Source organism: Homo sapiens, chromosome 4 (genome assembly GCF_000001405.40).
Source record: "Homo sapiens chromosome 4, GRCh38.p14 Primary Assembly".
NCBI lineage: Eukaryota > Metazoa > Chordata > Mammalia > Primates > Hominidae > Homo > Homo sapiens.
The window spans coordinates 114,023,117-114,036,759 of record NC_000004.12 but is presented as its reverse complement, the minus strand read 5'-3'; the positions used below and the strand labels follow the sequence as shown (position 1 = coordinate 114,036,759).

Sequence of the window (13,643 nt, the reverse complement as noted above, 5' to 3'; positions counted from 1 at the left end):
GAGATATTAACTGTGAAACTCATTGTGAAACCTGGCACTTCCTAGGTTTTCAATTTATGTCATTCCTTCTTCCTTGGCCTCGCCTCTCCCTTCTATATTACTTCGGTTGCCATAGCAACTGTTCTTCAGTGGCACCTAGTTTTTGAATGATGTACTTTACACAGCGTTAATCATTTTCATAGCACCTCTGGTGAGGGCACTGTGCTTCCGTCACCAACCACACTCTTTTCTGATGGTCTTTCTCTTTGTTCCCTGAGATATTTCTTCCAAACCACCATATTAAGGTAGGCTGATTAGAGAATCTCTTCCAATGTTTATGGCTATTATAGTAATGCTTTAATGTTCTGGGTCGTATCCTATATTCTTTTTAAGATTTAACCCATCTGCTTATGATTGATCAGTCTTTCACATGTAGGCACACTCAAATATGGGATAGTTATGTTTCCTTATAATTATGTGACAACTCCCCTCCACTCCACTTTTTTGCCCCTATTGGAAATTCCTTAGAATTAAACTTCTGTTATAGACTATTCTTTTTAAAAGGGTGGCAAATTTGCCAGACTCTCATAAATTCAACAAGTATTTATTGTATGCCTATTTGATGCTGGGAATATAATAGTGAGTATATTTCTACCTTTAAGGAATTTGTAGTCCAATTAAGAGCTCCCAGATTGTCTTCTCTCCAGAATAGAAATCCCTTCTTTAAGACACGGCATCCTATTTGTCTAAAGGTGGGTAAAGTTCCTAACTCTCCATCCCACCATGGAAAGCATTATTATTATATCAACTCAGACCTGAGATAAGAAGGCCTGCATTCAAATCGTGACTCCTCAAATCTTCAGCTAGCCACTTACTAGCTGGGGGACTTTTTACTGGATTACTTAACCTTTCCTCACAGAGTTGTTTTGAGATTTAAATGTAATAATCTGTGTAAATCACCTAGTATAATACCTGGAGCATTCATCATATGATTACCACTCATTAAACAATCACTTAAAAAGAAGTCTCCTAGAGAAATACATTACGGGTGAGTAGAGGGTTCCAGGCAGAGACATGGATCATGGTAGTCTCCAAGCATAGATTTTTCATAACTCAACCAATGTTCTCAGTTCTGTATTTTAAGTAGACTTATCTATGTGTTGCATTTTTAAGACTTCCTTTAAATGCCAGATATTTCATTTTCAATTCAAAAATATGATTTAGGCATCAGCCAAGAAATTACTTGCCTGCCACCATGCATGCAGAAATCAGATGCTTGTAGTAAAAATATTTTCATTTATTCAAGCTTCCAACCATGTCTCTTTTTCTTACAACTTTCAACCCAGATGGTTTACTAAGCTTGCCTTGTTTTTTATATATTATCTAATGGAGTAATGCTAAATGAAGTACTCTACTTACTGAAGTACTAATGAAGTAGCTTTTTGATAAGTTACTACCACTGATTTTATAAAAGTTAATGCACATTTTTCCTTCTTCCTGTGATTCTTAAATAGTAAAAAACCTTGATAATGAGAAAAAATTAGCCCATTTAGTAATTGCACTTCATACTATTTTTATACTAAAACAAGTACCACTCTTTTTGTATTTCTCAGTGGAGCCAACTATCAGGTAAGTAGAGACTCAAGTCAAGATTGATGTGATCCACCCGTGCCATCTCCCTTGCAATTCTTTCCAGTGTCACACCAAGATACTGTTTGAAGAAACAATACTTTGGGATCTGTAGACATGATGCTTCTGCCAATATTGTCATTGGGTATATTTATGACCTCGGGCAAGTAATTTCACTTCACTTCATATCTGTAGTTCGAAGATGGAGGGACTCATCCATTGTGACTCTTCCCTTTCTAGAAACCTACATCATGTACCAGACCTTTCTCCTGTGTTTCTCTGGGTAGGTGTGAAGCACGCCTATTCATGCCTACCATGCCTATGCCCAAGCCACAGAACATTGACTTGATTTATGTTGACCAAAAAAAGTAAGATTATTTCAGACATGAGAAAAATTTAAAAATAATAAATAACACTGCTCTTCAAATGCACTGAATGATTAGTTAAGAATATTATTTTTGTTTCGGTGACAATAGTCATGAAATAACAGACTCTAATTGGAAAGCAAATAACATTTCCCAAAAGGCTATCTTGAAAATGATTTTTGTATTGCCCATTGGATGTTTGCATACAACTTTCATCTTTGGCCAGAACCCAAATATAGACCAGCCTAGAAAGGTAATGGCAATAAAACAAGAGACTTTTGTAATGAAGTCTAGTAAAAGAAAATAAAAGCATTCTCTAAAATACAAGCTTCTAACAATGGTTGCTTTGAATTCCCTGCTATTAATGTTCCTCCACAAGGTAGGCATCCACCTTTATACAAAACTGGCAGTGTTAGAAAGCCCAGAAAGCTCATTTAGTAGTATAAAAGCATGTCTGTTCCTTGTATAAAATGTTTTGTCCCTGGTGATTTTGAGCTAATAACACTGTCAAGAGCACAGAGTTGGCAAAAAGACACCTGCATGGCCATTACATCCCAAAGGCAGGAGAGAGGAGACAGTTTTTCACTTCAATTACTGCTTATCTACAGCTGCGAAAAATGTAAGTTCACCTGAGAATAGAACTTACTTTTGTTCCACATCCATGTCCATCTAAAATCTTTATAAGGAGAACTAACTTAGACATAAATGTTATTATCAAATGTCCTATAATGACAAATAAGGTTAATTAGTTACTGATAAAATGTAAAGCATTCAAGGTCAAAGTGCAAAAACAATGCTAGCTTGGGGATTTGTGCTTATTGTGGTTTTTCTATTTGTTTGTTTTGAGACAGGTCCTCTTTTTTTTTTTTGCACATGCTGGAGTGCAGTGGCACGATCATCGCTCACTGCAACCTTGAATTCCTGGGCTCAGGTGATCTTCCCACCTCAGCCTCCTAAGTAGCTGGGACTACAGGCATGCCATCATACTCAGTTAATTTTTTTACTTTTTATTTTTAGTAGAGATGAGGTCTCACTATGTTGCCCAGGCTGGGACTTGCATTTATTTTTAGAAGAAGGGTGGATTAAATACTAGCCTTTCTGCAGTGGAATTAGAATTAGTTCCTTCTTTCCTGCTTCTTCTTTGTCCATATAAAATTTGAATCTTGAAAAAGAAAGAGTTAAGAATTCTTGAGTATAAGTAAATAAATCTTTCAATAATTCTTGCCTATGTGATTGCAAGAAACACTGTAAGGAGGAGAAACATCCAGGAGTTACCAGATGAGAATAAAATCAAAGTTCATAGAGTAGAATATATGAATGATTTCTTATGAAAGTTAGAAGTTAAAGTGCTTTTTTAGTTAATTAAAAATATCAGATAAATCAATTATTTTTTAAAAAACGACATGTACAATAAAAATCTTAAGCATTTTTTTCAGTTTCTCCCTTCAGTGATTTATAAGTGAATGTATTCTAAAGTGATTTTAATAGAACTAAAAACACAAATGTGGGGCTTGAAATAGAGGATTGTCCAACAGTATTAATGCTGACTAATATTGGAGTAGCTTCTTTTATGAGGTAACCTCATGAGACTCTTATAAAGTATATTTAATCATTGTTGGGAATGCTGCAGTTGGTAAGATATTAGACATAAAGTAATATTCAAATTTTTTTCTCATTCTTTAAAGAATACTCCACAGCACTTTACAACAGCCAAAAGGTGGAAATAACCCAAGTGTCTATCAGCAGATGAATGGATAAACAAAATGTGGTATATACCTAAAATGGAATCTTATTCAGCCATCAAAGATGAAGTATTGATACATGCTACAATGGATAAACCTTGAAAACAATATGCTAAGTCAAAGAGGCCAGATACAAAAAAGCCACATATTGTATGATTCTATTTATATAAAATATCAAGAATAGATAAATCCATAGGGAGAGAAAGAATTGGTGGACTGGGCGCTGTGACTCATACCTGTAACCCCAGCACTTCGGGAGGCCGAGGCAGGCGGATCACCTGAGGTCTGGAGTTCGAGACCAGCCTGACCAACGTGGAGAAACCATCTCTACTAAAAGCAGATACAAAATTAGCTGGGCGTGGTGGCGCATGCCTATAATCCCAGCTACTCGGGAGGCTGAGGCAGGAAATCGCTTGAATCCAGGAGGCGGAGGTCTTGGTGACCAGAGATCGCGCCATTGCACTCCAGCCTGGGCAAAAAGATAGAAACTCTGTCTCAAAAAAAAAAAAGAAAGAAAGAAAAGAAAAAGAAAATTGGTGTTTGCCAGGTTCTGAGGAGAGGGAGGAATGGGAACTGACTGCTAAATGGGTGTGGAGCTTTCTTTGGAGTAATGAAAATGTTTTGAAGCTCAATAGAGGTGGTGGCTGCACAGCATTGCAAAGTGTACTAAATACCACTGGATTGTGCTCTTCAAAATAGTTAGTTTTATGTTATGTAAATTTCACCTCAATTTTTTTTTTTTTTTTTTTTTTAGACAGAGTCTCTATCAGCCGGGCTGGGGTGCAATGGCAGGATCTTAGCTCACTGCAAACTCCACCTCTCCGGCTCAAGCAAATCTCCTGCCTCCTGCCTCAGCATCCCGCCCACCTCGGCCTCCCAAAGTGCTGGGATTACGCCACCGTGCCCAGCCCTCAATTTTTGAAAAGAAAAATAATTGTAATGTTAGGAAAGTTTGGTATCACTGGAGGAGAAATAACCCAATAAGAAAATAGAAAACCTAGAAAATTCATATGTTTATGAAAAAATATTTATTTCTATGATTATGTGTTATACTTGTAAATTAAATTTAAATTCTGAATTAAATTTATAGTTACCGTTGTCATATTATATGGCAATAAAATAAGTAATTTATTTATAAAATTACACCATTGATTTGAAACAGAATAATCCACTTCCCCAAGATTTTGGCAAAGTCCTAATGAGATAAGCATGAGAATATAGTCCCATATGTCTTTTAAATAAGAATTATATATTTACACATGTTTCCTAAATTTATCGAGGGTCAGAGAGATAAGTTGACAAGCCAGTTAGCTGTCAATTATCTATGACAATGGAATTATAGCAAATGGCTTGAATAAGTTGCTAATCCAAAAAGATTCATTCATTGCTTTGAAGATTGTTATGATTATTTTCAGGATCTTTTTCTCTGTGCTAAAATGTAATTCCATTGCTTTATTGCTGGCAGAATTAGATCCTAGCTTGGAAGCAAGAGAAAAACAACTTAGAAAAGCAAATTTACTATTATAGAGCAATGAAATGCCTGGAGTGATCTCATTTGTGCAAGCTATTCTCTTGTCAAATCACCTACTATGCACATGTCTTTCTAATTCTGGCACCTAATTTAATTGTTTAGATTAAATCTATAAACCAGTGATGCCAAAGTCTCTCTTCATCTTTGTCCACTTCAGAATAAAGTTTACTTCTTCATTTTTATTTATATAATAAATAATTACTGATTGCTAAATATGTCACAGGCATCATTCTGCATAATGGGGACAGAGCAGTGAGCAAAGCAAATTAAAATCCTTGCCTTCATAGAGTTTACTTCCCAGGGGAATAAATGCTTATCTCATCAGCGACCTTTATTCATGAGAAAGACATCAGTACCCTATTGACTGAAGGGTCTTCAGTGCCAGGGCAAGTTTATGATACAGTGCAACAGGCTCCTGATTCAAAAAATCTCCTGATAGAGATTTGCTATCCTGCCAGAGTCTCCATTTTCACTACAAAGTATTAACAAGACTAAATTCACAAGTTGTCCTAGGGATTAAATTAGATGATATGGGAAAAAAGAGTTTACAAATTTGTAAGTTATATATAGTTATATGTTTGTGTGTGTATATATAAATGATTTACAGCTCTGTATGCCTGCTTTATGTATTCATATGATAGATATTATCATAAAATTGTTACATTGTATTTTGGGACCGTTGTATGTCCTCAGTGTCTCTCATGATACCTGGTAAAGGGAAAACATTCATTAAAGTTTGACTGGGCAAATTAATGGATTATTCACAAACAAGTTCCCTAATTATATGAATTTTATTTTTAAAATATTCAATATTACTTCTATTCCCTACATAGTCCCACAGTTGCCTATTATTAAATTTTCCAATAAAGGGGCATTTTATCCATCAGGAAATAGTTGTATTTACTTTTAAATGAGAACAACCAGTAAATTTTTTAAAGTATAAGATACAATTTGCAATAACATGTACATTTTTAAAAAATATAAAATGCCAAATACAATAGCACTTACAATAGCAAAAACTACCAAATACTTACAATAAGTGTACAAAATACATTTAGCATCTCTACGCAGAATATTGTAAATCTTGATGGACAGAAATGGTAAAAGACCTACACAAATGAAGGAAAATGCTGTGATCATATATTAGAGGAACCAATATTATAAAAAACATTAATTTTTCTCAAATTGGTCTTTATGTTTGTTTTTTGCAGAGGTAAACTGATTCTAAGATTTATGAGGAATCACAAAGGGCCAAGAATAGCAATGCACACTTGAAGGAAAATAAGGTGGGATTTGTTTTACTGATATCAAGACTTATTATAAAGCTACAATAATTAAGGTAGTGTGGTATTGGTACAAGAATAGAAAAAGAGTACAATGTAAGAGAAAAAGGGAGATTATAAATATTTCTACCTAATTTTTGCTAAAGTGGCCCCTTAGCACAATGAGGAAGAAATGGATCTTTTCATAAATGAAGTTGGTTTAATTGAACACCCATATGAGTTCTACCTCACACCACACACAAAAAACAATTCCATATGAAATGGATATAAATGTAAAAGCAAAGTAATATAATTTGATAAGAAAATACAAGAGCATATATTCACAACCTTAAGTAAAGATTTCTTAAATATGAAGCAAGAGTCCTAACAATAAGAATAAAAATGATCAATTAAATGACTTTAATATGTAGAAATTATGTTTATCAAAATATGGCATTAAGAAAGTTAAAAAACAAGTCATAGAATGAGAAATGAGCAAATATATTTGCTGTACATATACAAGGTAAGCAGCTTACATGCAAGATAAATAAAACACAAGTACAAAAATCAATATGGAAAAAACACAACCTCAGAGAAAAATGAGCACAAGACCTATAAAACATTCCAGCAACATATACAAAAGTATGGAATAGTACTATTAATTAGAAAAATTAAAATCACAATGAGATAATACTGTATACCCATTAGAATGGCTAAAATAAAAGGCCTTTCAGTACCAAAAGATGGCAAGGATATGGAGCAGCTGAAATTCTCACATGCTGTGGGCTAATGTTTTAATTGATACAGGGAATTTGGAAATCTATTTGACATTATTCACTAAAATTGAACATATACACACCCTATAACATGACAATTCCACTACTAGGATTGTTTCTAACAAAAACGCTTGCACATGTATTTCAAGAGACATATAGAAGAATTTTCATAGCAGCATTATTCATAAAAGTCGAAAACTGGAAATAACCCCAATTTCCATCCACAGTGAAATGGATAGAAAAACTGTGGAACCTCTGTCCAGTGGGACAATAAATAGCAATGACAGAGAATGAAACACTGCTGCTCATAACAACATGGATGCCTCTTATAGGCATAATGTTTTAAGAAAGAAGCCAGGCACAAAAAAATGCATATTTTATGATCCCCTTTCCATACATTTCAAATCAGCCCAAACTAAACTGTAGTGAGAAAGAAGAGGATAGAGATTGGGAGTGTTTGGGGGGATAGGTCTTCTGGAGCACTGGTAGTTTTCTATTTCTTGATTTGAAAGGTGGATAATTTGTTGATGTTTACGTTCTTATTTTATCTACTTTTTGATAAGCAGATGATATTTTAAATAAATTCAAAAGCATAATAGATCATATTTTTTCTTAGAAAAGTTTAACAGCCATAAGATACCATAGGAACAGCCAGGCATGCATTAAAGGTAGAATTACTAAGCATTTAGATGACACTCTCACTGAGGAGAAAAATGTTCATGGTTTAGCAGAGAAAAAAAAAAAAAACAACAACAACTATGTTTTACTAGTCTTAAATGATTTAAATTTCCAAAAACCACTGGAAAGTTTCCACATCAAAGACTGAAAACAGGATTCTATCAACATGGGCAGGGTTGGAGGAACATTTGTCATCTTAACCAAGAAATTGGTTAAGAATAGGGGAAAGGAAATTTTTTTAAAAACACAACAAATTGTACTTTCTGTATTAAAATGTATAAGAATATGAGTTACTATAAGAACATGTACAATTTGACATTTTTATAAATAATCTTAATGGGTAAACAATAGCCTCTTTATGCTTACTTTGGCTAAATTTTGATAAAGGGTGAAAGTCTGCCTCCTTGATATTCCCTCTTCTTTCCCTCTGAAATCTTTTTGTATTGCTCTTATTGTTCAATTACTCATGTGTTCATTTGTTTCACAAATATTAACTGGGGATTATTGCATATAGGCATTGTGCCAGGCACTGAAATTTCAGTTGTAACAAAGCCAAAAGATGACCTCACTGAATTTCTATTCTTGATTATTGCCCATAGAGAACATGAGCAATAATAGAATATCAGCAATTATTGCCCATAGAGAATATAGGCAATAATCAAGCAAAAAAGTAAGAAAGCAAGGTAAGTAAGTGCAGACTAAAAACTGAAATGAAGGAAAATAAAATGGTATAGTGTAATTTAATCTAGGGTGGAAGCTGTTTCAGAAACAGTGGTTAGAAAAAGCCTACCTTAAGAGGGGATATTTCAGCTAAGATCAGGGATGAAATTTATGCATTTACTTAACTCAGCAAATACATATTAAACACCTACTGTGTGACAGGAGCCATTCTAGATGCTGAGAAATCAACAACAAACAAGAAAAAGATGTGACTTTCATGGCATTGACATTGAAGTCTGAAAGGAAATCTTCCATGTTGATGCAACAATGACTTCAAATACCCTGGACAGGAAAAGGCTTTGATGGCTTCATTAAACTTCTGAAAGGCTAGAATGTCATTAAGAGTGAACAACTGGGAGAGTGGTCTGCAATGAATTTGAAGAAGTGAATAGAAACCATAACATGGGTGATTCTGTAATTCATGGAAAGAAGTCTGTCTTTCATTCTTAGTAAAATTAGAAGCCATTGATAGGTTTTATGCAGAGGAATAATATAATTTGATTTAACTTTTAGATCACACTTGCTGCTTTGTGGAGAATAGTTTAAAGGGAACAATAATACATAAAGGAAACAAGTTAGTAACCTATCTTCCAGGCAAGAAAGGATAGTAATCTGAACTGGAGACAGGAGAGTAGAGATGGAGAAAAGTATACAGATTTGAAGAATAATTTGGGAATACAAGATACAAGAGAATACAAGATTCTATTGTATTGCTAATACAATACAACAGAATGTATTGATGAATAAGTACAGTAAGGGAGAAATAAATACATTTCTCTTTTGCTTTTAGAAGAAACAACTAAGTGGATTTTGATGATGTTTACTAAGGTGGCAAGGAGAAAGGAGACTTTGGAGAGATTTAGAACAGAAAATCATGAGTTTCTGTTTTTGGATAGATTGTGTTTGCAAGGTATACATAACACCCAGCTGTGTTGTCAGATAAACATTCTGAAATGAAATTCAAGAGCTTGGGGATAAATATAAACATTTGGGAGCCATCAGAATAAATACTGAGTTCACATTTATGTCAATTGATGAGATCACCTAGAAAATGTTTGTTGAAGAAGCAAAGTAGATCTAGAACCTAAAATTAAGAAGCACAGATATTTAAAGGAAGGGTAACCAGCTAAGAAAATTAAGTAGATGTAACCATTAAGTCTAAAAAAATCAGTAGGGTGGTGGAACAGAAGCCACAGGAGAAAAGTGAGTGGGAAAAAAAAATTAGTATTTACTGTCTCACATAATGGTGAGAAATCGAGCAAGTTATAGACAATGAAATGTTAATATTGACCTAGTTACGAGGTTTTTCAGTGGAATGCGGGGCTCAGATAATTGGGCAGAGAAGCCTGATCACAGTGGGTTGTGGTGTAAATGGAAGGGGAAGAAGTGAGACAGCACAATTAACAGCTGTGAACAGAAAGAAGTTATGGGTGGTTTGAAGAGAAAACAAAAGGTATAAAGTTCTCATTTTCAAAGTGGAAACATGATCCTATCAGAAGAAAATGAAAGGATTAATGAGTGGTATGGAGTGGAAGTTTGAAATTTGAGATCACAGAGTCCTGTGATCTTTCTCCAGCAAAGTTTCCCCACTCAAATTAAATCATAAAAAGGCACATGGCCAAGTTTTTCAGGGTAACTAAAATGAAAGGAGAGAGGGGTAAGGGATTGAAGGATATTTGCCATGAAGTAATCTCATGATGGACAGAGATCACAAACGCCAGGGTAAAAATGAAGCTTGGAGTGGTGATAACAGGTGTGGGTCAGGGTTGGAGTATTGATGTATTTGAAGAATTGTGGCAGTAGAGATACCTGAATAAATGCTCCAGATAAATAAATGATCATTATTGGACAATGGAATATTTAAAACCAAGATTTCAGAAGTGGTAAGTTTTCTGGGGCTGAAAAGACATTAAGTGAAAGTGGTTAGCTAGGAATGAAAAAAAATTGGGAGATGAGAAGATGAAAGAACCAAAAAGCCTCCATTTTACATGTTTTATTTATGTGGATGCTGAAGTCACAAATAAATATACTGTACAGAATTTAGAAATCTATATGCTTGAATAAAAGGGCCTTAATACATAGGTAAATAGACAACAGTAACAAAAAGATAGAGGAGGCATATGCATCAAGAACGGTGGTAGGCATTTGCAGGAGGGAGATGGATAAAGAGCTAATATTGCAAACCAAAATCAAAGAAGACAAGTCAACCCTGTCATACCTCATGTAATCACTACGAGAAAGAACAACTTTCTTTTGAGAGGGCCAAGTTGAGCTGACAATAAAAAGGGACAGGCAGTTTTTTGATAAAGCAAGAATATAAGGAAATGTTCCTAGAAAAGATGACACATTTGAGGTGGTTTTGTTACGAAGAACAAGAGAAATATGATGGAAGTGAGAGGATCAAATTAAGGGCTGGGCAGAACCGTATAGGGATGAGTTTTGTGAAGATAGATGTTCTTGTAGTCAAATGTCTAGCTATGACTAAGCAATGCAGGACTATTGATCCAACTCTCAGAGGAAGTAGAGCATCTAGAACTATTCATCTTGTACAAAAATATTACCCTTGATGGTATAGAAGCTTATTAGATAGAAGTTCCACAAGGCTTGGACTAATGTGACTATGCATAGGCAACAATTCCCCAAGGCGAGGGGCAGGGTGCTAGCACTCACACGCTGCTAGCAGCTTCCTAGGACTTTGAACCATATAATGTCCCTTCAGCTGGCACGTATTTTTCACAGCCTTTCTCAGGTTTCACTTCCTGAAGTGAAACTTTACTCACCTTTCTAGACCACAGTGTTTGAATTCCTATTAAACTAATGGTCTGCACCATTCTTGTTATTTAACTACATAGCAACTTTGCTAGAAAGTATATCATACATATTTAACTCATTGTTACAAGTACCTAGTAAGTCTACAAAATGAGATATTACATTTTATCCGCAGGTGAAGGTACACATTTCTCAAATCACAAGTTCAGGTCTACTAATAGCCCACTCAATTTTCCACAACTAAACTCAGTGTTTGCCCATTCTTCTTGATGGGAGAAATTTAATCTGAACAATTTCAAATATATTGAGACATTTATAGGTTTCCCAAGAACATATAAATGGTATCTATAAGATATTTTCATCTATGCTGGCATATTGGGTTAAAAAGTTATAGTTTAAAACTCAAAAGAATCAATTTAAAACAAATTAATCATTACCTCATACAGCTCATGATGGAACACTTTATCTCAGAAGGATATTTAGGCCGGTCATTCACTCAACAGATATTTAGTATCTGCTATTGGTACCAAAGCTTACATTAGACACAAGAGACACAGGTAGGAGACAAAAGTTAATCGGACACAGTTGCTTGTCTCAGAAAACTTGGAACATATTAATATAAATATAAATTACTTCCCATAACTACATGGTTTATATTTTTTATAGGTATGATGAATCTATAAAATGACATTAGTATATACTATTTACGAGGACAGGATGGAGTGAATAAGAAAGAGAGGAAAGGAGAGGGGGATTTGATGCAAGTCCTCAACTTTTGAGGATGATGTCAAGAAAGAAAAACCACCCCTTCCATAGGACCACCATAACCACTGTCAGTATCTAACAGCCCACCTCAAAATAAACAGATCAGAGGAGCAGATCTTATGTTTTTACACTCTAAAGTCAGATATTTTCAATAACAGTGAAGGTAATCTGTCTTCCTGTGGAGTACAAGACTCAGTGTGCGACCCAACTACCATTAAGGGGTTATTAAAAGTTTTTATCAATAAACCATTGCATTTATGATATTGTAAATGAGGTACTAATTGAAAAAGGCATCTGCCAGATAAGGCATGTGTATAAGTGGCAGGCCCCACACATGATCCTTTAAAAATGGTAAACCAAAAATTTAGGCATTGTCTAATTTATGATAGTTACATTCAAAAATGATTATCATTCATTTATGTCCTCAAAAGAAAATACTACACTTTTACTATGCATTCATCACCTAGAAGATCTTAAAGTATTTGTTTATATTGATTTATATTTCCAAGCAGTATTTTTTACCATCTGAAAACAAATATTTCAATGTTTCTTCTGTTTTTTAACACAGAAAAATTTTTCTTCCACCCAGGTGTATAAGCAAAAGTACTTGACTTTAATATAGCAAATATGCAGAGGTAGAAAAAAATAATTTTATTAAGTGCTCATCATTATTCATAAAATACACAGCAAATGTGACAAAATCATAACAATTTATATAATACTGGAATAGTCTATAAAATATGGTTGTCCTTTGGTTTAAATGATACAATTTTGAGATTAAACGTGTTTTAACAAGCATTTTTTTTTAAACTAGTAGACCATGGGGATAAAAAACCTAGAATGGTCATGAAGAAACTAATAGAAGCCAAAATAAGCAAGACACAAAGTATGCCTTATTTAATTAAAGTTCAGATGAACTAATGTACACATACTACAAATTTAAGCTGTCCCTAGGCATTACTAACCTATATAACCAAAGCTTACATAGTTGATTTTTGTTGGGAAATCTAGCATTACCACAGTTTGTAGTCAATATTCAATGAGTTTTCTGACTTTTGCTCCTTTTTCTTCTAGGTCAGAGAGTCAAGTTACTAGTCAAATAATCGCCTAAAAATTAATTTACAAATGGTAATTACACTTAATCTTTAAAGGAAAAAAACCAACACTGAAAGTAACAGGTAGGTGGTTTTTAAAACTTAAATATATGTGACCTCAATAAAAGAATTCCCATTTTAATTAATTTGCTAAGAGTTAATTACCTAACCTGTATTTATGTCCCAAGCTAAAATGTATGTGATAAAAAAGATGATAGATAGAAGATAGATGATAGATAGATAGATGATAGATAGATAGATAGATAAGCAACATACAATACAGGTTATTTCTGTTATATTGTTAATAATCACATACATATGCATATATAACAT

At 34.1% G+C, this 13,643-nt stretch overlaps 1 long non-coding RNA gene across 1 annotated transcript, besides 1 other annotated feature; it reads left to right on the top strand.

Moving 5' to 3' along the window:
* Positions 1 to 208: 208 nt before the first annotated feature.
* On the top strand, positions 209 to 13,394 carry LOC105377376 (uncharacterized). The gene is made up of 3 exons (XR_939088.2): positions 209 to 284; positions 6,458 to 6,532; positions 13,291 to 13,394. It is a non-coding gene; the product is annotated as an uncharacterized LOC105377376 (long non-coding RNA).
* Positions 8,711 to 9,212: an enhancer, noted in NCBI's record as "NANOG hESC enhancer chr4:114948704-114949205 (GRCh37/hg19 assembly coordinates)". NCBI's record gives its function as "activates a minimal SCP1, AML or CMV promoter by ChIP-STARR-seq in primed H9 embryonic stem cells {active_cell/tissue: H9 hESC(primed)}" and the evidence as "EXISTENCE:reporter gene assay evidence [ECO:0000049][PMID:30033119]".
* Positions 13,395 to 13,643: the final 249 nt, after the last annotated feature.